General features: G+C 36.6%; 2 protein-coding genes across 10 annotated transcripts in view; one reads left to right on the forward strand and one right to left on the reverse strand.

The window, feature by feature from the left end:
• NXPE4 (neurexophilin and PC-esterase domain family member 4) overlaps nucleotides 1-9,229 on the reverse strand; it is a 107,660-nt gene extending 98,431 nt beyond the window's left edge. For both annotated transcript variants that reach the window (XM_047427150.1, XM_047427148.1), the window contains exon 1: nucleotides 8,938-9,229. The gene's annotated coding sequence lies outside the window, so the exon portion shown is untranslated. The remainder of the gene's footprint in view (nucleotides 1-8,937) is intronic.
• The window catches only part of NXPE2 (neurexophilin and PC-esterase domain family member 2), a 349,427-nt gene that overhangs the window by 204,746 nt on the left and 117,954 nt on the right, over nucleotides 1-26,727 (forward strand). For 4 of the 8 annotated variants that reach the window (XR_001747769.2, XM_017017212.2, XM_017017211.2 and 1 more), the window contains exons 1-2: nucleotides 9,506-9,580; nucleotides 10,636-10,741. Coding sequence is in view for 7 of the 8 variants with exons in the window: in XM_017017212.2 (XP_016872701.1) it covers nucleotides 9,555-9,580; nucleotides 10,636-10,741 (132 nt within the window). In the remaining variant the exon portion in view is untranslated. Of the gene's footprint in view, nucleotides 1-9,505; nucleotides 9,581-9,980; nucleotides 10,219-10,635; nucleotides 10,742-26,727 lie in introns of those variants that run through there. The other 4 variants (XM_017017209.2, XM_017017207.2, XM_011542604.3 and 1 more) reach the window with 2 other exon arrangements.

The following is a 26,727-nucleotide window of genomic DNA, read 5'->3' on the forward strand; positions in this document are numbered from 1 at the left end:
CTTGCTGAAAGTGGAAGAGACTGATCAGATTTAGAGCTCCACAGAAAATTCCTATGCTCTGGAATGATTTCAAAAACAATAGAAATCAAGAGATGACTTCCAGCAAAAATGTGAGAAGCTCTGTGGACCCTCTCCCCAGTGGAACAATCATAATTGATGCACATTATAAAACAAACAATGATTTAAAGTCTTTGGAAATTATCCCAAGGGCATACAGCAAATGAATAAACATTTTTTGAAGAAAATCTTCTATATCTCAGTTAGAATGGAAAAAGACTGGAAATTGAGCCACAAAATCCTTCCATCTTCTCTTTCCAAGCCCACAAGTTAGCATGACAAAGCTCTACTCTGGCAGGTGCAATCAAGAAGACTTCATCTTCCCTGACTTGTCAGTCAAGAATATCTTACCTGAAGGGTAAGATATCCCTTTTCATTCCTTCCAGTTGTGTGTTGCAGAGGTTCTATTCTACCCAAGAATGGCTTAGAAGTCCTGGACTCTCTTTCTCTACCCAGCCCCTACTTATAGAGCAGAAGCACTTTTCTAGGTTTGATGGACTGAGAATACCAAGCTCCAATTATTCTCACTTCAGCTCACTGGCTGAGTGTCACCCTGAGAAATGGGCCACTGTCACTGACTTCAGTTCTGGAGCAATGGCAGAAGTTTTGCCCAGGAAGAGAGGCAGGTCATAGCAACAGAATGCTCCACATATTTTTTCCAAGGGCACTGACTTTATTTGGAGCAGTCTGAAGGGAATTTCAGTCCTAAAAAAAACTCTTCCAAAGATAATGGAGATATTGGTTGTAGGCAATTATGCCTAGTGTTCCATTATTGGAACACTAAGCATGTGGGAGTTATTTATATCCTACTGCTTGCAGTCATCCTGAAGGTCTGATTGCAAAAATTCAAAACATTGCAACCTCAGGGATAAATGGGTTAAGAGCAAGCTGGCAGCTCCTTGACAGTAACAAGCAAAACCATAAACCAACTAATTTACCAGAGGAAACTGCACAAAGACATAGCTAGGTAGAGCCCTATAGAATTAGAACAAACCTCAAAGACTGGTCTCAAAAACTGCCCCTCAAAGGAGTCTATATTTAATTTAATTAGACCATAGAGCAGTTTATGCCCCAGGACCTTGTGGGGAACAATGGAGCAATCAGCCAGGAATTAGTAGAGGCTATCCATTAGGTATGATAACAACAGATGGAGAGAGCTTAGAGAAATCAAAATAAGACATGGTCAAAGAGAGCCTTGATAAAATCACTGTTATCCCAAGATGATTGTGTGCATGCCCAAGCCTTTACTTTCTGAGGAGCAATATCAGAGACTATGCACTTCTGGAGAAATAGACTACTAAAATAGCCCAGCCCAATTACTAAACAAACAAGCAGGCCAAGCGCAGTGGCTCACCTCTGTAATCCCAGCACTGAAGTGGCCCTTGTGGTAGGATCCCTTGAGGCTAGGAGTTGGAAATCAGCCTGGGAAACAGCAAGACATCATCTCTACAAAAAATTAAAGAAGTAGCCAGGCATAGTGGTGCACACCTGTGGTCCTAGCTACTTAGGAGGCTGAGGCAGGAGGATCACTTGAACCCAGGAGTTCAAAGTTACAGTGAGATATGACTGTACCACTGCACTCTAGCCTGGGCAACAGAGTGAGACTGTGTCTCTATAAATAAATAAATAAAAGTAAAACAAGCAAACAACAACAACATCAAGTTCCATAGAGTGGAGATCAGTATATAAATTTGCTATAATATTTTATCTGAAATATTCAGTTTTCAACAAAAATTATAAGACATGCAAAGAAACAGGAGAGAATGACTCACGAACAGGAGAAAACGCAGGCAATGGAAACCGCCTCTGAGAGGGCCAAGTTGTCAAACCAAGTCAGACAAAGACTGCAAGATAGCCAATATAAATATGTTCAAGGAATTAAAGGAAGCCCTGCTTAAAAAAAGAAAGGAAATTATTATGGCAATACCCCATCAAGGAGAGATTGTCAATAAGGACAAATATATATATATAAAAATATAAATATATACATAAATATAAATATATATATAAATATATATAAACAAAAATATCAAATTGAAATTCTGGAGTTGAAAAGTACAATAACTGATATGAAAAGTTAACTAGTGATACTTAACAGTAGATTTGAACTGTCAGAAGAAAGAATCAGCAAACTTGAAGGTAGATCAGTAGAGATTATGCAGTCTAGAGAACAGAGAGAAAAATAATAAGAATATAAATAGATCTTTAGAGAAATACGGTACAAATTTAAGCACAGCAGTTGAAATGTAATAGAGGAATTAGGAGAGGATAGGGAGAAAGGACCAGAAAACAATGGAAGAAATAATGGCTGAAAATTCCTCAAATTTAATGAAGAACATTAATCTATATATCCAAGATACTTAATAAAGTACAAGTACAATAGTGTAAGGAAATCCACACCCAGACACATCATAGTAAAAATGAAAGTCAAAGTCAAATTAGAAATCTGGAAAGCAGCAAGAGGAAAATAATTTATAACATACCAGGTAACCACAATAAGACTAACAACTGACTTTTCTTTAGAAACAGTGGCACCAGAAGGCAGTAGGATGACATATTCAAAGTGCTGAGAGAAAAAAATAGAATAAGCCTGTCAACAGAGTGTTTTATCTAGCAAAACTGTCTTTAAAAGTGAAGAGGAAAAAGAGAAATTCTCAGATAAACAAAACTGAGAGCATTCATAGCCAACAGATCTGTTTTACAAGAAATAGCAAGGAGAATTCCTCAGTTTGAAAACAAGTGACCACGGACAGTAATTTGAATACACAAACAGACACACACACTATATTAGTCTGTTCTCACACTGCTATAAAGACATACCTGAGACTGGGTAATTTATAAGTAAAAGAGGTTTAATCGGCTTATGTTTCTGTAGGCTGTACAGGCTTCTACTTCTAAGGAGGCCTCAGAAAACTTACAATCATGGTGAAGGCAAAAGGGAAGCAAGCACATCTTCACATGGCTGGTGGGAAAGACATAGAGAGAAGGAGGAGGTGCTACACACTTTGAAACAACCAGATCTCATGAGAACTCTAGTACAAGAACAGCAAGGGGGAAGTCCACCCCCATGATTCAATCACTTCCCACCAGATCCCTCCTCTAACACTGGGAATTACAATTCAACAGGAGATTTGGGTGGGGACACAGAACCAAACCATATCACACACAAAAAGCAACTATAGAACATAAAAACCATGAATAATAAGAATCTACTGTGCAAGTTAATTGCTAGAACAATCCCTAAATTTTTTCAAAATATACAGCAATAATTAAAGGAATTAAGATGTTACACTAGAAAATATTCATTTAATGCAAAATAAATCAGTAAAGGAAGAACAGAGAAAAAAAGATGCAAAGGGCGTATTAAAAACAAAGGTAAAATAACTATTTTAATGATAATACTTAATGTGAATAATGGATTAAACAATCCAATCAAAAGGCAGAAATTGCCAGACTGGTTAATGGGACAAGATCCAACTAACATATACTGCCTACAAGACACATACTTTACATTTAATGATACAAGCAGTTTGAAAGTAAAAGGATGGAAAAAAGGTATCATTCAAACAGCAATAATATGAAAGATGAGGTGGACAAAATAGACTTTAAAAGCCATAATGTCACCATGGATAATGAGGAACGTTTTCTAATGTTAAAAGTGTCAATACATCAGGGAGATATAACACTGAGAAAAATATAAGCATTTAACAATATAGACCTAACATATATAAACGAAAACCTACAGAATTGAAAAAAGAAATAGACAATTCAACAATAATAGTTAGAGACTTCAATATCATATTTTCAATAATGATTAGAACAACTAGACAGAATAACAGTAAGAAAAAACTCCAAAATTATAAGCCATCTAGACCACACAGATGTCTATAGAACATTCTGCCCAACAACAACAGAAAACATATTCTTCTCAAGTACACATGGAACATTCTCTAGGATAGACCACATACTATGCCATAAAACAAGCCTATATATATATTATATATATAACATATATAGTATATATAAAATAATTGAAATCATGCGAAGTATGCTCTGTGGCTATATGGAATGAAATTAGAAATTGGTAATGAAAATAAATTTGGAAAATTCACAAATATATAAAATTAAACAACACACTACTAAATAATCAAGGTGTCAAAGAAGAAATCACAAGGGAAATCAGAATACACTTTCAGATGAATGAAAATGAAGGTATAACAAACCAAAACTTATGGGATAAAGATAAAGTAGTTATTAGATGGAAATTTGTGGCTGTTCACACCCATATTAAAAAAGAAGAAAGATCTCAAATCAATAACCTAACTTTTCACCTAAGGACACTGGAAAATGTAGAGCAAACTAAGCATAAAGCAAGCAAAATAAATAAAATATAAAAATCAGAGCAGAAAAATAGAGAATAGAAAAACAGGACAGAAAAATCATTGAAACCAAAAAAAAGTCCTTTCAAAAGACCAATAAAATTGACAAACCTGTAGCTAGAATAACTCAGAATAAAAGAGAAAACTCAAATTACTAAAATCAGGAATAAAAGAGAAAAAATCCCTATTGTGAAAGAAAATAGAATCTCAGGACCCCTAACTCTCTATGCCAAAGAGAAAGTTAAACTTGGGAATTGAGTCATGCAATACTGCTTTCCTTTTGTTCCCAAAGAGCTGTAATTTCATAACTCTATGTGAGAGCCTCATCCATAAACCAGGTTCCCACAAAGATAGGAAGCCACATATCTCCCCAGATAGCCTCCCTCAAATTGCTCATGAGGAAATTCTTTGTGAATTCCTAAATCCTTCAGGATACACATCTCTCCTACAAACTAGCCCAAAACCAGAATTCTGTTAAATCTCACCATGACAATGTCATTTATCAGCTTATCTTCACAAGTACAGGATAAAGACAAAACTAGAAATCACCCCAAAGATGATGATGGGATTAGTGGAGATTAAAAATTTCAAAAGGAGAGAAGGGGCCTCCAGGGGCTGGTGGACATTGTTTAAAAACAAACAAACAAACAAACAAACAAACAAACAAACAAGTGAACAAAACCTGCTAAGGAATTAAAATGCCTTAGTAGTCTTTTATTTAAAAAATTCATGCATATGTTGCATTTCCTACAATGGTATGCTGAAGTTCATACCAACAAAAATGTTTAAAATTATTTGCCAACCAAATAACCTTAATTTTCTCTTGAAAAATCATTAAATAAAAATAACACAATGGGAAAAATGTGCTTCAGTAATTGTGATGTGGCTCAGACACACATTTATCATCAAGTGTCTATGGAGCTGAATAATTTCACTTAGCTACATAAAGACTAGATTCCACATTAGGAGAGAATCCTATTGTATGTGGTCAAAGTTGTTAGCACTTTAAAATGGATTTTAGAGCCATAGTATGTTTTATGCAAACCTCATGGCAACCACAAAGAAAAAACTTGTAGTAGATAACATGAAAGATAAGGAGGAATCAAAACATACCACCACAAAAAAAAAATCAAATCACAAAAGAAGACAACAAGAGAGAAAGAACGACACAAAGTAACTACAAAGCAGTTAGAAAACAATGAACAAAACTGTTCAACAAAGAAAAGACAGGACCTGATGGCTTCTCTCATGAATTCTAGTAAACATTAAAGAAGAAATAATGCCAACTCTTCCCAAACTCTTCCAAACAATTGAAGTAAAGGGAATACTTTCAAATTCATTTTAGATGACCAGCATTGTCCCGATATCAAAGCCAGACAAGGACGCTAGGAGAAAAGATAATTATAGACTATCATCCCTAATGAACATAGATGCAAAAATCCAAAACAAAATACTAGCAAACAAAATTCAATAGCACATTGAAAGAATGATTCACCATAATCAAGTGAGATTTATCCCTTGGATGCAAGGATGGTTCAACATACACAAATCTATACATGTAATCCATCATATTAACAGAATGCAGGATAAAAATCATATCATCTCAATAGATAAAGAAAAAGGATTTGACAATATTCAATGTCTTTTCATGAGAAAAAAACTCTAAAAAATTGAGTATAGAAGGATTATTAGAAGGATTATACTCCAACACAATAAACACTATATATGACAAACCCACAACTAATATCATACTCAATGGTGAAAATCTAAAGGCTTTTCCTTTAAGATGAGGAATAAGAGGATACCCACTCTTGCCATTGAATTCAACATAGTACTGGAAGTCCTAGCCAGAATGGTTGGGCAAGAGAAAGAAATAAAAGGCATCCAAATAAAAAATGAAGTAAAATGGTTTCTGTTTGCCAGTGACAGGAGCTTATATATAGAGAACTCTAAAGACTCCACCAAAAAACTGTTAGAACTGTTGAACAAATTCAGTAAAGTTGCAGGATACAAAATTCACTGCAGAAATACATAGATTTTCTATACGCTAACAATAAACTATCTGAAAAAGAAATCAAGAAAACAATTTAATTTAATATAGCATAAAAAAAACCCTTAGGAATTAATTTCATGAAGTAGGGAAAAGATCTCTTCATAGAATGATATCCTGTGTTCATGGATTAGAAAAATTAATATTGTTAAAATGTCCATACTGCCCAAAACATTCTACAGATTTAACGTCATCTTTATCAAAATTCCAATGGACTTTCTAACAGAAATAAAAGTAATAATTCTGAAACTTACATGGAACCACAAAAGACCGCAAATAGCCAAACCAATCTTGACCAATAATATCAAAGCTGGAAATATTAAACTACCTGATTTCAAAATCTACTGCAAGCTCTAGTAATCAAAACAGCATGGTATGGGCATAAAAACAGACACATAGAAGAATGGAACCAAATAGAGACCCCAGAAATAAATCCACATGTTTACAGTCAACTGATTTTTGGACAAAGGTGCCAAAAGCACACAATGGAGAAAAGACAGGCTTTTCAATAAATGGTGCTGACAGAACTGCATATCCACATGTGGAAGAATGAAACTAGAACCTTATCTCACAACATATAAAAAAAATCCAACTGAAAATGGATTAAAGACTTAAACATAGGACCTGAAACTGTAAAACTGCTAGAAGAAAACATAGGGAAAAATCTCTTTGATATTGGTATGGTCACTGAGGTTTTTTTGATATGACTCCAAAAGCACAGGCAACAAAACAAAAAATAGACAAAATGAGATTACATCAAACTTAAAAGCTTCTGTACTGCAAGGGAGACAATTAACAGAATGAAGAGACAACCTACGAAATGGGAAAAAACATTTGCAAACCATACATCTGATAAGGAATTAATATTTAAATTAAATATAAAAGAACTCAAATAAGTTAATAGTAAGAAAATGAATAATCCAATTAGAAAATTGGAAAAGGAGCTGAATAGATATTTCTTAGAGAAGACATTCTAATGGCCAAGAGGTATATGAAAAAAATGTCAAGCCTCACTAATCATCAGGAAAATGCAAATTAAAACTACAATGAGAGATTACCTCATACCTGTTAGTATGGTTATTATCAAAAAGACGAAAGATAAGTGATGGTGAGGAGAGGGAGAAAGGGAATACTTGTACACTTTTGATGGGAATGTAAATTAGTACAGCCATTTTGGATAACAGTATGGAGATTACTCAACAAATTTAAAATGGAAATACTGTATGATCCAGCAATCCCGCTAATGGGTATATATCCAAAGGAAAAGAAGTCAGTATTTAAGAAGATATCTGCACTCCCATGTTAATTGCAGCAATATTCACAGTAGCCAAGACATGGAAACAACGTTAAGTATGCATCAACAGATGAACTGATAAAGAAATTGTGTCATATATACACATAAACAGTTGGGTGTTGCTCAGCCTTAAAAAAGAAGGAAATCTTGCCATTTGCAACAACATGGGTGAACCTGGAGGACATTATGCTGGGTAAAATGGGCCAATCACAGAACACGGAAAGATAACTATTGCATTATCTCATTTACATGTGAAATCTAAAAATGTCAAATTCATATAAATAGAGTAGAATCGTGGTTGCTGAGGGTCTGGTCAGGGAGAGGGGCAAATAGGGGATGTTGGTCAGAAGACTCAAGGTTTTACTTTACACAGGATGAATAAGTTCTAGAGATTTATTGTACAGCATTGTGTCTATAGTTAATAATACTTTATTGCATACTTGAAAATTGCAAAGAGACTAGATCTTAAGCGTTCTCACCACACAAATAAAAATAACCATGTTAGGTGATGGATATGTTAATTAGCTTGATTGTAGTAATCACTTCACAATGTCTGCATACATCAAAACATCACATTATACACTGTAAACACATACATTTTTTATTTGCGAACTGTACCTCAATAAAGTTGAAAAACAATTCTGGACACTATTATAACTGTCATAACACTGCAGCACAAGGCAGAGGAGAAGAACATGTCTTATAAGGAGTGGGGAAGAATTGGCAGGATCCATATCTTTTTTCTTTCAATAAATTTCTTTAAAAATTATCTACCGAATCTCTGTGCCAATCTCCAATATGCTGTGATTACAGTTCTGATATCCATGCTGTTATATAGACATGGAGGGATATATGGTGGCTAGAGGTGCTGGCTTAGATGCAAACAAACAAATGCTATGTGTATATAAATATACACATATCTATGAAGTATACACATGTATATATCCATATTTATATCTAGATAGCTATCATCTATCTATATCTGTATATAGAGATCTATATCTAGACACTCTCATGCAGAGCAATGCATACTGAGTGTGGCCCGTGTGTTATGGTGGTAGCAGGGCCACCTGGCAGGTAGTTGCAGTGTGACCACTGAAAATCCTTAGTGTCATGAGACCTACATCCACAGAATTTGCTCTTTTGGATTCTCTTACCTTGTTACATATTCAAGTTGCAGTGAGATTTAGACCTGTGGCTGTTCCTCTTATGGCCTGAGATTGAATTTAAATCATCGCTGTGGGACTGCTTGATGTATGCAATGGTTTAGAGCAAGAGAAAGTTTACAAAGAAAGCACTCCAAAAATTGAGAGGACCCAGCTGAATCAATTCTCAGGCCTTCAGGAACCGTGGACTCAGGGCTTCTGTTTTTCTTCTTTCTGATTTTTCAGTTACTTTTCCTGCTACTGTGGAGGTGACTAATCCTACGTGAAAACCATACAAAGGCATGAGCAAGGGAAGAGCACTCTGTCTATAAACACGTAAAGCCTTAACCAAAGGTGACTCAGTGCTGCAATTAGATGTCCAGTCTCTAAAAACAAACTTCAGAGCTTCCTCATGGCTTTTTCCTTCTGGCTCTGTGGTGTGGGTTGGGCAGGAACAGATCATAATAAGGGAGGTTTATGATTCCAGCTGGCACGCTGTGGCCACAAATAGGATGTCAGCTTTTGATCAATGAAGCTCATAGGGAAACTCCAACCCTAAGATAAATGCAAAGACTGCTTTAATCAAGGAGAGTCTCTGGACACTATAATTCCTGTGAGAACACGAGAAGATGGTGGAGAAAATACTCATCCATAGGTGTGGTACTTTCCAACTCTTACTGCCAAGCTAACGTCAGGGAAGGGAGGGGAGAACTATAGACCATTTGGTGTTTTTCAAATGGTGTGATGCAACCCTTTAGAGGATAGTAAAATCGTTTTATTTGGGCATAAAAATACTTTTAAAATGGAATACAATTCAATGGAATAAAACAGTAACTAGAAAAAAATCACAGTGCATTGTGTGCAGTGTAGATAGTATTGTTTTATGAGAGTTTTGGGGCGTGTATGTGTGTGTGTGTGTTTGTGTGTATGCATTCATGTGTCCTGAGTTGGATTTGGTATGATGTTTTTTTTCTGGGGTGGGGGGGTTGTTTGTTTTTATTTTTTTTACTATGGGTCCTGGTCAAAAATGTTTGGTAAAGATTGCCATAATTTAGCTCTTTGCCACATACTTTTGGGATTCTGGGTTTTAAAAACTAACACTGAAATTCTAACCACTCAACACTGAGTTTTTTAAAGACTGTAACTTTCACTCTTTTTGGCAGTGTTTATCAACTGCTTTGGCTTGAGGAGATAACATGGGGTGGCAACAAGCTGCCTAAAAAAGTAAATGGGTGGTTTATAATGAAGCTCTTGAGGCAGATAAGACCAGGGAGAGAGGGTACCAGACAACATGTGTGTGCGTGTGTGTGTGTGTGTGTATCAGAGAGAGAGATTTAGAGACCAGGATTCACTAGAGGACACGGTGGGGGTGGGGTGGGGGTGGGGGTACTGTTTTTTCTGGTAAATAATCTAAAACCTTGTTGTCCATGCTGAGACCTCGACAAGAAAACAGGTTCCAGTATGTGATATGATTCGAAACCCAAAGAATTAACCTGAGTATCAGAAACCAGGAGTCCTTCTAGGAGTTTTGTTCCCTGCCTCAGGGAAACACTTTGTTTCTGATTGACAATAGAAGATATAAAGGAACTTTTGGAAAACCCAGGATAACATCACCTTGTTCTGGAAATTACTGAAGAGGAACCAAAGTGTACGGAGCCATGTCGTACTTATTTGATTTAATGTGATTATTTCTCCTGTCCTTTCTTATAGGATACTCACTTTGTTTCCAAATGCCATAGCTCGAAAATTACTGCTGATGTTGACATTTATCTTAATTTTCTGGATCATTTACTTGGCTTCAAAAGACCACACAAAGGTAGGAAGTTTCATTTTTAAGAATTTCACAGAAGGTCACGGTGACTTCATTTGAATGACCCCCTTTATCATGGCAAGAAATAAAAGTTAAAAGCATATCATCTTAGCAGGAGAATGTGGATCAGGGGTTCACTGTTCAGCATAAATCCCTTTGGCAATGCATATATTATTATTACTATTTTAAATGGCAATGTATACATTATTATTGTTTTTCTTTAAAAAATGGCAGATGGATTTGTGCCATCTCTGTACTAGTTGGCACTGTAACCATCCTGCGTCAAAATTCTCTCCTCCTCCCTTGGCCTCTGAGATTTCAAACTAATTAAGTTTCTGTTTCAGTCCTCTGCCTTCTTCACAGGGGTTTTCTTATTCTTTAAGTAGTTTAGTGTCTCCTGGCTCTTCCCTTTGTAAGTTTTTCTTAACTCACCTTGCTTCCAGTTTCTTTTCTTCCCAACCATTTAGTACAAACATAATCTTTCAGAAACTCTGCTTTTATCATCTTCTGGTCCTGATCAAATACTTTCACCACTGACAGTATAAAGAACAAATTCCTTTGTTTAGCCATTCGAGGCCCGTTTACATTTGAACCCAACTACCTTTAAAAGTGTCTTTCTAACCTTTGTCTAACACAGACTTACCTCCAAGCTTCAAACAAGAAGCACCACAGTCTAGGGCATTCAGCCGGTAATATGAACTGGTTAAAAAAAGCCTTCAGAGCACAGCTCAGAAGGTTTCTTTTCCTGGGCCCTCTCTATAAATATGTGTTCTCTAGATTTCTTCCTCTGATCCTCTTCTCTTCTATGCTTGTACCTTTTAATTCATTTGCCCAGGTCCTACCCACTACCAATATTAGTGTTTCACAAAGTGAAGTCTGGGAGCCTTCTGCCCAGAATACCTGTTCTTATACCTGTGTGTAAAATGCAGATTCCTGAGCCATACTCAGAACTACTGAAATCTCAGTTTGAGCCTAAGATTACAAAGTATTAACAAGCTCCTCAGTTTATTCTTAAGCATGCTAACATTTGAGAATCTCTGCTATGTCCTTCCAAAAGTGAAACCTCTTTCCAGCCCCACTCTTGAATATGTGCTATTCATTGGATATCTCCATCTAAGTCTTCCACTAGCACTACCAAAACAAAAAACACACACACCAAATTTATCATCTGTCTCACCATCATCCCCTAACAAAAACAAAACAAGCATACAAAATCAAATGGAAACAAATTCTCTACTTTTATCTCTCCAGTCTTAATAATTGTTGCCATAGCCTGTGTAGTCAATCAAGCTAAAACTCCCTCCACAAGCTGATCAGCCACTAAGTCTTATAAATCCTACCTCCAAAATGTCTCTCAAGTCTATCCTTTTTTTCTCCATCCACATTGTCTTTCTTTAGACCGATACTTTGTCATTGCTCATCTAAATTGTTGAAATAGTTTTCCAATTAATTTCCCTGCCTCCAGTCTCAGCCTGCTCTAAGCACTCATTCAAAAAACCTTTGTTAAATGTATATTGTGTGTCAGGCACTGGTCTAGGAATTAAAGATACAGAAATACAGGATATCATGTTTGTGTTCAAGAATCTGAAATTTTATTTCTAAAATGAAAATGTGAATATGGTACTCTACCTTCAGCAGCTCCTCATGTAGCATGTGTATGGCCCAAATGCCTTGGCACAGTGTTTTATTGGACTCATTTAAATAAAGGGCACAGAAACTCACTAGGCCTGGTCCAAGACATCCTTGCACTGGCTGTTTTCTTTTTCTTCCCTTTCTCCAGGTTTTCATGTAACTTCCACGTAGTTCTTACTTCCTTCAAGTCTTTTTCATCTTCTTGATTTAACACCAGACACATCCCCACTCCCACCTCTTAGCATTCCCCTTACTCTGTTTGATTTTTTTAACATAACGATTATAATTATTACTGATAACAGGCATTAAGTCATATCAGAATTATAGGAGTTTCCCGTAATTTTGGAATACATGCCAATAACATATTTATACAAATATAGCCCAAAGGAAACCAAACACCATTTTATATTTGACAATGCTTCCTGTATAATTTTTATACCAAATAAGCTACACACGTCATTTTTGGACTATAGGGAACCTATTAGTAATATCTTAAAGGATTAATAAGGTCAGAAAAAGACATAATTTATAATTTGATTTTGGAAAGTTTGTCAAATATCAAAGGTTTAAAACACTTGATATTACAAAATAGGATCACAGGTCATTGTAAAATAAATCATTCATTTAACCAAAGTGATAACTCAAGGATTTTCTTAAAAAGGCAAAACCTTCATTCTATGAGAGAGGAGACTTAATTTTCCAAACAATAAGCCCTAATAAAAACAACAAGAAGCCTATTAAATTTATTTTCCAAAATTGTATAAACAATCTATAACATTTTCATCCTGATCATAAGATATAACTTCTGTAAGTCTTTATAACCTTTATGAAGGAGTAGGTTAATGCTTCAAGAAAACCTTGTTAATCTGACATAGGGGCCCACATGCTGGTCTCGCATCAGTGTGCTTTTGACATTAATGATTAATTTATAAAGAAAGTGAACTTACTTTATCTTTTAAAGTTGGCCCTTACAATCTCATATGCCCACCTCTTCCAAGATAGTCCCTGGGCCTTGAGGAGTTGAATGGCTTTAATTTCTGGCCCTGTGTCTCAGGAATGCAGTTAATTTTGATTGGCATCTTCTACCAGGCCTGAAGATGAGGCTTTAATTGCTGTCAGAGCTTAAGTTTAGCAGGACTTGGTGTTCTTTTTAGACCCAGAAGTCAAAGCCCTGTAGCTCAATGTCACAAGGACTTTAAAAGCACATACAGGAAGATGCAAGGAAGTAATAACGTTAATTAAAATTTTTTTATTCTCAATTTTTCCTGAGCAAACCAAACTTAATAATAATGCATAGGAATTATTTTGATAAAACTTAAAATCTGTTAGTCCAGTTACCAAAAGGCAAAAGAGAAGACCTTTTGTAGTGCACAGAATATTATGTTGGAAGAAGACATTTCCTTTAGACCTTTAAGAAAACATTGCTAGCATAAGGCCACAAGAAACAGAACCTGAGGAGGAAAAAAAAAAACTTATAGGAACTGAAAATGAGTTGAAGGGTATTGTTACTATTTCATGTTTTTTAAAAGGGGAGAGAAAACCAAAACCCGTGAGATGCAATAAAAGTTGAACTTTGGGTTAAAATAAAAAAATTAAAATATCTTATAATTTATTAAAATTAAATAAACCCCTTAAGAAAATTTCATTGTTCTAACCAATTCTATTATTCAGCGTATAAGTGGTTTTTTAAATATAAAACCTGATCTATAGAAAGACCATTATAATTTCCCTTTAATCATAGAGAACTAGATCTTATAAAAGTTTTTGAGTTTTTTAAAATAAATCCTCTTATTGTCACTTACACAGGCTGTTCATGACTTGCTTGGACTTTCTGGTTTGTTCTGAACATCCCTTTTCCTTTAACAGCCAGTCATTTTACTCTAGGACTAAATTTACCATACAATTCTTTCTTGTTTGAATTATTTTTTGTAATAGTACTTTTCACTTTCTAAAATAATATATGATTTACTCATTTATTATGTTCATTGATTATTGTCTATCCTTACCTAGTATATAGTAACCTTTATAGAGTCAAAGTTTTTTTTTTTTTTGAGATGGAGTCTTGCTCTGTCACCAGGCTGAAGTGCAGTGGCACGACCTCGGCTCACTGCAACCTCCGCCTCCTGGGTTCAAGTGATTCTCCTGCCTCAGCCTCCCGAGTAGCTGGGATTACAGGCGCGTGCCACCAGGTCCAGCTAATTTTTGCATTTTTAGTAGACATGGGGTTTCACCATGTTGGCCAGGATGGTCTTGATCTCTTGAACTCATGATCTGCCCTCCTTGGCCTCCCAAGAGTCAAAGATTTTTATAAGTGTTTATTGGTATCACAAGTGCCTAGAACAGTCTCTGGTACATAGTAGATACTTAATAAATAACTGGTAAATAACAAAATAAAGAAAGACTGTTCAGTGATCTGGGTGAGAGGTAATGGTGGCCTGAAATAAGCTACTAACAATAAAGATGGAGAAAAGTCAATGAATTTGGCCTATAATTGACAGTAATAGTGATTGACTGTGGGAGGTAAAGAGGTAGGTTTAACCAGGAGTTACATGTTACATTCCAGGTTTGTACAACTGCATGGCTGTTGATCTCATTCACTGAAGTATTGACCAGAATAGGAGAAATAGTTAGAAGACAAAAGATGGGTTTAGGTATGAATAGTCTAGGTTTGAGGTCCTTTTAGGTCAACCAAGTGGAGATGTTGAATATATAGATCTGAAGCTGGGAAAGATCTGGCTTAGAAAAATAGATTTAGGAGGCCAGGCCCGGTGGCTTATGCCTATAATCCAAGCACTTTGGGAGGCCGAGGCGGGCAGATCACAAGGTCAGGAGATCGAGACCATCCTGGCTAACACGGTGAAACCCCATCACTACTAAAAATACAAAAAATTAGCTGGGCGTGGTGGTGGGCGCCTGTAGTCCCAGCTACTCGGGAGTCTGAGGCAGGAGAATGGCATGAACCTGGGAGGCAGAGCTTGCAGTGAGCCGAGATCACACCACTGCACTCCAGCATGGGCAACAGAGTGAGACTCCATCTCAAAAAAAAGAAAAGAAAAAAAAATAGATTTAGGAAACATCGGAATACAAATGGCAGCTGAAGTCATTGTAGTCTGTGACATTTCCTTGGATGAAGTATAAAGCAAGAAGAAAAAGTTGCTAGTGATATAATCCTGAGGAACAAAATAAGCACTTGGCTGAGGAGTTAGTGGTAGTGGAGAAAGTGCACATGGGAAGGAAGAGGACCCTTGAGAAACTTAATTGGTAGGGGTGGGGAATAGGTGAAGGTTAGAACAGCAATTAAAGGGGGAATCAGAGGCTCCAAAAATTTTCCTTTTTGTAATATGGGAGATACTTGAATGCATTTTAATTCATATGGAAAAAGGCTAATAGAAGAAAGGAGGAAATAGGAAAGAGAAGGTGTGGTTACACATGTTTGGCAGTGTGACAGGAAGTTGAATGGCTAAGTGATTACTCTTACAGTTCTCTAAAGCCAAGAAGCTTCAGGAACACAGAAATTTAGGTATTGGAGGAACTGCCTCCATGGATATTGAAGTCTACCTGGAGGATGTCAAGACTTTTAGTGATTAAGACTAGGAGCCAAGTTCTTCATGATCTTCTATAAATGAGTAAAAGAATCCAGTTGGTCAAAAAGTGACAGAGAAGAGGAGGATTATGTAGTAATTGGTGATAGTTGGTCAGATATATCATGGAGAACAAGATATCTTAGGGTCTTCTGAAAAAATATATATCCCTTAATATATATAAATCTTCAAAATATATATATTTGAAATGTGTGTGCATATGTGTATAAAACCCTGGTTTTAGTCCATTCAAGCTGTTCTAAAAGAATACCACTGACGGAATGGCTTACAAGCAATATAAATTTACTGCTGACAATTCTGGAAGCTGCAAAGTCCAAGATCAAGGCATCAACAGATTTGGTGTCTGATGAGGGACTGCTTCCTTGTTCATGGATGGGTATCTTTTCATGTGTACTTACATGGTGGAATGGGCAAAGGAGCTCTCTGGGGTCCTTTTTGTAAAGGCACTAACTTTATTAATGAGGGCTCCATTCCCATGATCTAATCACCTCCCTAGAAGTCCCATCTCTTAATACCATCACATTGAAAGTTAAGTTGTAACATACAAATTTGGGAGAACCACAAATATTCTATCTATAGCAACATTGGAGATTAGGTTACAACATGAATTTTGGGGAGATGCAAGCATTTAGTCTATGGCAATTCTAGTGTGTGTATGTGTGTGTGTGTTTAACAGGTTATTAAATAATGAGACAACTGGGCCTCACATGAAATTGAGCATTAAATGCTGATCTTGTCCCTGCTACTACTATTTTAAAGAGACTTTCCTCCTTCTATGCCTAATTTTAAGGGTCTAGCACAAAACTTTTTGTTTTTCCTTGCTCACATTTGTGTCTCGTATGTTGCATAATTCTACTACATAATATTCTTGACATGACAAAATCATAGAAATAAATAACAGATACATGTTTGCCAGAGGTTAACTAAGGAATGGGAGAGGGTGAGGGAAAAGTAAGCTTGGTTAAAAAACGGCAACATGAAGGAAAGGAAATGTTCTGTATCTTGACTATATCAGTTTCAATATGCTGGTTGCAATATTTTGCTAGTTTTGCAAGATGTTACCATTGAAAAAAACTCCGTAAAGGGTACATGAGATTTCTCTATAATTTATTTTTTTCTAAATACTTTTATAATTTTTAAAATTTTAGATTTAGGGAGTACATGTGCAGGTTTCTTATATGGGTATATTGCATGATGATGTGGTTTGGGCTTCTAATGCTCCCATTGCCCAGTAGTGAACATAGTACCCAATAGGTAGTTTTTCAATCCTTGCCATCCTCCCTCCCTGCTTTTGGAATCCCCAGTGTTTATTGTTCTCATCTTTGGGTCCATGTGTATCCAACGTTTAGCTCTCACTTATAAGTGAGAACATGTGGTATTTGGTTTTCTGTTTCTGTGTTAATTCATTTAGGGTAATGTCCCCCAGCTGCATCCATGTTGCTACAAAGGACATGATTTTGTGCTTTGTTTTGGCAGTGTAGTATTCCATGGTGTATATGTACCATATTTTCTTTATTCAATCCACCATTGTTGGGCACCTGGGTTGATTCCATGACTTTGCTATTGTGAATAGCACTACAATAAACACACAAGAACAAATGTCTTTTTGGTAGAACAATTTATTTTCCATTGGGTATATACCCAGTAATGGGATTGCTGGGTTGAATGGCAATTATATTTTTAGTTATTTGAGAAATCTTCAAACTGCTTTTCACAATGCCTGAACTAATTTACAGTCCCACCAACAGTATGTAAGCAATTCTTTTTCTCTGCAACACTGCCAACATCTGTTATTTTTTGACTGTTTAATAGTAGCCATTCTGACTGGTGTGAGATGGTACCTCACTGGAGTTTTGATTTGCATATCTTTAATTACTAGTGATGTTGAGCATTTCTTATGTTTGTTGGCCATGTGTATGTCTTTTGAGAAGTATCTGTTAGTGTCCTTCACCTACTGTTTACTGGGACTATTTGTGTTTTTCCTGTTGATTTGTTTAAGCTCCTTATAGACTCTTGACAGCAGTCCTTTGTTGAATACATTGTTTGTAAATATTTTCTACCATTCTGTAGCTTGTCTGTTTGTTCTGTTGATAGTTTGTTTTGCTGTGGAGAAGCTCTTTAGCTTAATTCAGTCCCAATTTTTAATTTTTGTTTTTGTTACATTTGCTTTGAGGGCTTAGTTATAAATTCTTTGCCTGGGCCAATGTCTAGAAGAGTATTTCCCAAGTTTTCTTCTAGGATTTTTATAGTTTGAGGTCTTATATTTAAGTCTTTAACCCATTTTGAGTTAATTTTTCTATATGTTAAGAGGCGGGGGTCCAGTTTTATTCTTCTGCATATGGTTAACCAGTTTTCCCAGCCCCATTTATTGAATACGTTATCCTTTCCCCAGTGCTTATTTTTGTTGACTATATTGAACATTAGTTGGTTACAGGTGTGTGGCTTTATTCCAGGGGTCTCAATTCTGTTCCATTAGTCTATGTGCCTGTTTTTGTACCAGTACTGTGGTGTTTTGGTTACTGTAACCTTGTAGTGAAGTATAAAGTTGGACAATGTGATGCCACTAGCTGTATTCTTTTTTGCTTAGGATTGCCTTGACTATTTGGGCTCTCTTTTGGTTCCATATGAATTTTAGAATAGTTCTTTCTCATTTTGGGAATACTGATGTTGGAATAGCATTGAATCTGTACATTGCTTTGGGCAGTATGGACATTTAAATGATATAGATTCTTCTAATCCATGAGCAAGGGATGTTTTTCCATTTGTGTTGTCTATGATCTTTCTCCTCAACGTTTTGTAGTTCCCCTTGTAGAGATCTTTCACCTCCTTGGTTAGATGTATTCCTATGTATTTTTTGTAGCTGTTTACATAGGATTGGATTCTTAATAGTTTCTCAGCTTGAACATTATTGGTTTATAAAAATGCTACTAATTTTTGTACGTAAGTTTTGTATCCTGAGACTTTGCTAAAGACCTGTTTATCAGGTCTAGGAGTCTTTTGGCATTACCTTTAAGGTTTTCTAGGTATAGAATAATATCATCAATGAAGAGAGATAATTTGACTTCATGTTTTCCTATTTTGATGACTTTTATTTTTTCCTCCTGCCTGATTACTCTGGTTAGGACTTCCAGTATGTTGAATAGGAGTGGTGAGAATGTACATCCTTGTTCCAGCTCCTAGGGAAAATGCTTCCAGTTTTTGCCTGTTCATTATGATGTTGGCTGTGGGTTTGCCATAGATAGCCGTGATTATTTTGAGGTATGTTCCTTTGATACCTAGTTTGTTGAAGGTTTTTTATCATAAAGGGATGTTGGATTTTTATTGAATGCTTTTTCTGCATCTATTGAGATGATGATATAGTTTTTGTTTTTAATTCTGTTTATGTGGTGAATCACATTTATTGATTTGCATATGTTAAACCATCCTTGCATCCCTGGAATAAAGCCCACTTAATTGTGGCGAATTAACTTTTGATGTGCTGCTGAATTCAGTTTGCTAGTATTTTATCAAGGAGTTTTGCATCTATATTCATCAGAAATATTTGTCTGTAAGTTTGTTGTTGGTGTTGTGTCTTTGCCAGATTTTGATATCAGAATGATACTGGTTTTGTAGAATGAATTAGAGAAGAGTTCTTTCTCCTTGATTTTTTGGAATAGTTTCAGTAGGATTGGTACCACTCTTCTTTGTATGTCTGGTAGAATTCAGCTGTGAATCCATGTAATCCAGGGCTTTTTCTGCATGATAGGTTTTTAAACAATTATTATTATGATTCAATGTCTTTAGTCATTTTTGGTCTGTTCAGGATTTCTGTTCTTCCTGGTTTAATTGTAAGAGATTATGAGTTTCCAGGAATGTACCCATTTTCTCTAGATTTTCTAGTTTGTTTACATAGAAATATTCATAGTAGTCTCTGAAGATAATTGTATTTCTGTGGGATTGATTGTGATGTCAACTTTGTAATTTCTGATTGTGCTTATTTGGATATTATTTTCTCCTTTGTGAATCTAGCTAGTGGTCTATTGATCTTGTTTATATTTTCAAATAACCAACTTTTTGTTTTGTGGATCCTTTGTATTTTTTATGGGGTCTGAATTTCATTTAGCTCTGCTTTGATTTTAGTTATTTCTTTTCTTCTGCTAGCTTTGGGACTAGTTCTTGTTTTTCTATTTCCTTTAGGTGTGAAGTTAGGTTAGTAATTTGAGATCTTTCTATCTTCTTGATGCAGGGATTTAGCACTATAAACTTTCCTAGTGACACTAGCTTTGTCACATCTTAGAAATTTTGGTATGTTTTGTCTCTATTTTCATTTGTTTCAATTTTTTAAAATTTCTGCCTTAGTTTTGTTATTTACCCAAAAGTTATTCAGGAGAAAGTTGTTTAGTTTCCATATATTTGTGTGATTTTGAGAGTTCCTCTTGGTGTTGCTTTCTATTTTTATTCCATTGTGGTCTGAGTAGATGCTTGGTATGATTTCAATATTTTTTAATTTATTGAGACTTGCTTTATAACCAAGCATGGGGTCAATTTTACAATATGTTTCATGTGCAGATGAGAAGAATGTATATTCTGTGGTTGTTGGGTGGAGTACTTTGTAGATGTCTATGGGGTCTAATCAGTCAAGCATCAAATTTAAGCCGAGAATTTCTTTGTTTCTTTGTTAGTTTTCTGCCACAGTGGTGTGTCTAATGCTGTCAGTGGGGTGTTGAAGTCCCTCAGTATTATCATGTGGCTGTCAAAGTCTTTTCTTAGATCTAGAAGTAATTGTTTTATAAACCTTGGTGCTCCAATGGTGGATGCATATATATTTAGGATAGTTACATCTTCTTGTTAAATTGAACCTTTATCATTATGTCATGCCCTTATTTGTCCTTTTTTAAATTTTTTGGTTTAAAGTCTATTTTATCTGATACAAGAATAACAAACTTGGCTCTTTTTCCGTTTGTGTCATAGATCTTTCTCCACCCCTTTACTATGATCCTATGGGTATTGTTATATGTGAGATGAATCTCCTGAAGACAGCAGAAGGATGGGTCTTATTTTTTAATCCAGTTTGCCACTCTATGTCTTTTAAGTGGAACATTTAGGTCATTTATGTTCAAGGTTAATTGATAATTGATATGTAAGGTTTTGTTCCTGCCACAGTGTTGTTGGCTAGTTGCTTTGTAGTTTCAATTGAGGGGTTACTTTATGGGATCTGTGGGTTATGGACGTGTGTGTGCTTTTGTGGTAGCAAGTAACATTCTTTTATTTCCATATTTAGAACTCTTGAAGGAGATGCTTCTCTTGTAGGGCTGGTCTGGTGGTGATTAATTCCCTTAGCAAATACTTGTCTGGAAAATACTTCATTTCTCCTTCATTTATGAAGCTTAGTTTGGTGAGATATGAAATTCTTGGCTAGCATTTCTTTTCTTTAAGAATGCTAAAAATGGAACCTCTGTCTCTTCTGGCTTGTAAGGTTTCAGCTGAGAAGTCTGCTGTTAGTCTGATGGGCTTCCCTTTATAGATAATATGACCTTTTTCTCTAGCTGCCTTTAAGATTTTTACTTTTTTGTTAGTCTTGGATACACTGATGACTGTGTGCCTTGGGGATGGGTTGCCTTGTATAGTATCTCATCAAAGTTCTCTGGGTTTCGTATCTGCATGTCAACCTTTCTAGCAAGATTGGGGACATTTTCCTATATTCAAATATACTTTCCAAGTTGCTTACTCTCCCTTCTCGCTCAAAAATGCCAGTGAGTCATAGATTTGATCACTTTACATAATCCCTTATTTCTCAAAGTCTTTGTTCATTTTTAAAAATTATTTTTATTTTTGTCTGAGTGGTTCATTGAAAAAACTGGTCTTTGATCTCTAAAATTCCTTCTGCTTGGTCTAGACCATTGTTAAGGTTTCCAACTGTATTTTAAAATTCCTATAGTCAATTTTTTAATTCCAGAAGTTCTTTTTGATTCTTTCTTAGTACAGCTATGTCATCTTCCAAATCTTGGATCATTTTTTCTGGCGCCTTTGTGTTGAATTTCAAATTTCTTTTGAATCTTGTTGAGTTTCCTTGCCATTCACATTCTGAATTCTACACCTGTCATTTCAGATATTTCATTCTAGTTAATATACATTGTTTGTGAGTGAATGGTATCCTTTGGAGGTGATGAAACACTCTGGTTTTTTGTATTGCCAGAGTTCTTACACTGGTTCCTTCTCATCTGACGGAGTTGACACTTCTTTTCTTCCCTTTGAATTTGCCATCATTTGGATAGGGATTCTTGATTTTTTCTTTCTTTTTTTTCTTGGGGGTATGGCTATGGTGTATGTTGTGTATGATCAATTGGCTTTGTTTCTTGGTGCTTTCAGGGTGCCTAAGCTCTTTATGGGTTCATTGGTTACAGATAGGTTGCGGTGGCTTTCTCAGATATTGCTTTTTGTAGCAATGTGGTTTTGTTTGATGGTGTAATTCAAGCTGCAGTCTAGTGTGTGGTATTTAAGAGTAATAGCTGGCAGCTAGGGGCAGGGGCAGAGAAAAATTGGGAAGTGTGAATCGTGCCCTCTCCCAGCACACATTTACCTTCAGTGGTGGTGGAGACACTGGAGAAGCTGTCTCTTTCAACCCATGCTCCCCATGCCCTGATAGGAAGAGCTGCTGCTAAGTCTGCAACACTACACTGAGAAGAAAGGTGGGGGTGAGAGATGACCTCCTCTCCACGTCCATTCCTGGGCTTTGGTGATGCCACCTTCAGTAGTTGGTGCCATGCTTGCATTTTCTTTGACCCAAGGGGGGCTTTGGTGAGCTGTGCTCCCCCTTCCCTTAGGGGCAGATAGTGCTGAGGGTTAGATCTCCAAGGAAAGTGGGGTCTGCCTCCATTCTACTTCTTGGAGCTGATGGGGCACTGTTCCCCAAATGGCCAAGGGAGCAGGCTGGGACACCAGGATTGACACCCACAGACTAGTTCCAGTTTGCAAAGCTGTCCCCGGCTACAAGCCTCACCACCCAGGAGAAACTTTGGCTTCAGAAACTCTCCTCCTGCTCCAGGCCTGTGACAGGAAAAAGACTAATTCCAGTGCCTACTGCTGGGGAACTCTCTGCATTCACCACTCAATTCTGACTGTGGGTGCCCTTCTGCCTTTCCAGAGCAAATGCTGCAAACTCTGGCCTGAGCCTAAAATGTCTGCTGTGGTCACCACTGCCAAGTGGCCAAACAATGTCTTTAAATGCTCAAAATGGTGTCATTTGTGGGTTTGTGGCTGAAGAGGATGGGGTCCCTCTCAGGCAAGTAGCATGGGCAAGAAGCTGTGGAGAGTGCAGTCCATTTACATCTCAGCCTCACAGCATTCTGTTGCAGGGTAGCAAGTACCCTCCCAGGGCTGTGTGGGTGCACCCATTCTCCCCCTTCATCCTTGGAACTGTGCAGCAGCTACAGCCATGTCTACAGATCCCCAGTATCTAGTCTCTCAAAGTGGCTCCCACCTGAGTCTGCTCCAGGCTTGGATGCCTGTGGAATTCTGTGTGGGTTCCCTTTCTGGAGCAATGTTTCTGTGTGATCTTCAGGCAGCTCTATGTCAGACATGAGGCCCAAATGGGTTGAGGTTTTCTCCTGCAGCCATGATCATTAAAGCCTATTTCAGAGCTTTGGGGATTTCTCTCTTACTGTTTCCTTGCATCCATGAGCCTCTCACGCTCAGTCAGTTCCTAGCTGGGCCAGCTGTTTTAAATACTCTCCTTACTTACTTCTGATGTTTCCTGTTTCTTCTCTGATGAATCCAAGCATTCTCTACTAGCTAATTTATTCAAAATATGACTATCTACTTTCTTTCCTTCTTTCTTTCTTTCTTTTTTTGTTTTGAGATAGAGTTTTGCTGTTGTTGCCTAGGCTGGAGGACAATGGCATGATCTTGGCTCACCGCAACAACTATCTACTTTCTACGCTGGCTCTTCTCCATGGAGGAGGCACACAATACTTGTGTCTAGTCAGCCATCTTGATCCCTCCAATTTCTCTATTATTTCTGACAATTGCATGTGAATCTACAATTATCTCAAAATAAAAAGCTTAACTCTTTTTCTCTTTACTGTACTTCTGTTGAAGTTTAAAGACCTCATTATATACCGAATCTTATCCAAACTATTTTCTTCAACAGTTTAAAACCCCATGTGGTGCACACTTTGCCTTTGTCAGGCCTTTTAAAAATATTCCTGCCTGGTCTCAGGTGATACAGGTAACCTAGGGAAACATATTAGAGTTCTCCTTCAGGATGGGAAACCTTCTTCTTGCCCCATATTTGTGGCTGGAGGACAAATAATGGACACCTCAGAGAATGAGAAAGTGTTAGGGAGACTGTGGAAAAGATGAAGTTCAAAAGAGCTATCCCACAAAGTGGTTGATGAACTCCTGGGCTCAACTCTGAGTTTAGCATGTGTCAATCTTACCCTAAATAGCCTACCAAAGGCTTTGGGAATTTAATTATGGACCGGACCGCTGCCCATGTCCCAGACTGTCCACGTCCCAGACTGTCCACTGGATTTCACACACATAAAACAGATTCAAGTAATACAGTGAAGTCTTTGAGAACTGAACAGACCTGTAACCAAAGCCCACAAAAGGTGGGTTGAAACTTGCAGCCTTAACCTAACGAAATCAAATGCTTGTTTTAAAAATAAAATCAAAATTATCATTAGAGTGTAAACAGGACCCAGAATCTCACAGCATAATATTTAAAATATCTAGGATATGATTTAAAACTATTTAGAGAATGAAGAACCAGGAAAACCACAACTTGCAAGAGAATAGAAATCAGGCAAAACCCTGAGCTAACATAGATGTTGGAATTATCAAATACTTAAAAACAGCTATTATAACTATATTGGTTTTCTATTGCTGCTATAACAAATTACCACAAATTTAGTGGCTTAAACAATGCAAATTTATTATGTTGCACTTCTGGAGGTCAGAATTACAAAATGGATCTCACTGGGCTAAAATCAAGGTATTAGCAGGGCTGCACTGCCTTCTGAAAACTCTAGAGGAGAATATGTTCCCTGGCCTTTTGAAGAGAGACTCTGTTTTCCTTGGCCTCTCCATTTTCAGAACAACATGGAGTGACATTGGTCTAAATCTTTTTCACACTGCCATCTCTTTGGTTTTTCCTTTTCTGCCACTGTCTTCTACTTTTAAAAACTCTCATGATTACATTTGACTCACCTGTATAATTTAAGATACTATTCCCATCTCAAGGTCAGCTAATTAGCAAGCATAATTACACCTTCAATCTTAATTCCCTTTTGCCATGTAACTTAACATATTCACAGGTTTTGGAGAAGAGGACATAGATATCTTATCCTTGTTCTTCAATAGGTAAAGTTTTCTTTCCTGTATGGCTTGTATCATAATTTTAGGCTTTGTCTTTGATTTTTAGCAATTTGAAAGTGATATGCCTAGAGGTAGATTTTTGGTATTCTTCCTGCTTGGTGCCCTCTGAGCTTCCTGGATCTATGGCTTGGTGTCTGTTATTAGTTTTGGAAAAATTTCAGTCATTATTTCTTCAAATATTTCTTCTGTTCCTTTCTCTTTATTCTCCTTTTGGTATTCCCATTATGTGTATTTATGCCTATTGTGTTTGTCCCATAGTTGTTGGATATTCTGTTCTTTTTTCATGCTTTTTCTCTTGTTTTTAGTTTGGGAAGTTTCTGTTGACATACTTTCAAGCTCTCTTATTTTTCACATGACTATGTTCAGTCTGTTCATGAGTTCATCAAAGGTGTTCTTTATTCTGATATAGTGTTTTTTATTTCTAGCATTTCCTTTTGACTGTTTCTTAGAGTTGCCAAGTCTCTACATACATTACCCATCTGTTCCTGCTTGTTTTGTATTTTTTTTATTAGAGCCCTAAGTATTAATACCTCAATCATAGTTATTTTAAATTTCTGGTCTGATAATTTCAAAATCTCTACTATAACTAAGTTTTGTTCTGATGCTTGCATTGTCCCTTTAGACTGTATTTTTTTTCTTCTTGTGTGCCTTGTAATTTTTATTGAAATCTGGATATGATGTAGTTGGTAAACTGGAACTGAGATAGGCCTTTAGTGTGAGCTTTTATATTTATATGTTTAGGAGTTAGACTGTGTTTACTGTTTACTGTAGATATTGTGTCAGAGGCTACAATTTCCTCCAGTGTCCATGTTTATGTGTCTCCTAGAGACTTCATCCTTGGGTGTTTCTAGGGACTCCTTTTTAAGTAGGGTCTGAGGCTTGCAGTGCTTTTTGCTATAATCCTATTTCTATACAGAATTCCTATTGAGTTGGTTGTAAGATGTGCAGGAGGGGAAGCATTCTGTAGTACTGTGATTTAGTCCCAGTATTTTAGTGAGCTTGTGCCCTTAAATCGTGACCTTCACAAGTGCTTGTCAGCTTCCTGTTTTCCTATACCCACGTCTATCCTTAGGTGAAATAAGAAGGCCAGATGGAGGCTGGGTTTGGGTATTTTCCTTACCCCCGATTGATCAGGTTTTGGTAAAACCCAACTTGGTTAGGCTCTAGTAACCTAGTTCCCCTTGTTCTCCTTGTTAAGGAGAACAGAGACTTCTGGTACATTTTAAAATAGTGGCATCGGAACTAGAAAAAGAGAGAAATGGTAGACTTAAATCAAATCATATCAATAGAACACTAAATATAAATAGTCCAAACACATCAGTGAAACAACAGCGACTGTCAGAATGTATAAAAAGAAGAAATTGGCCGGGCACAGTGGCTAACGCCTGTAATCCCTGCACT

This window comes from Homo sapiens, chromosome 11 (genome assembly GCF_000001405.40).
Source record: "Homo sapiens chromosome 11, GRCh38.p14 Primary Assembly".
Lineage (NCBI taxonomy): Eukaryota > Metazoa > Chordata > Mammalia > Primates > Hominidae > Homo > Homo sapiens.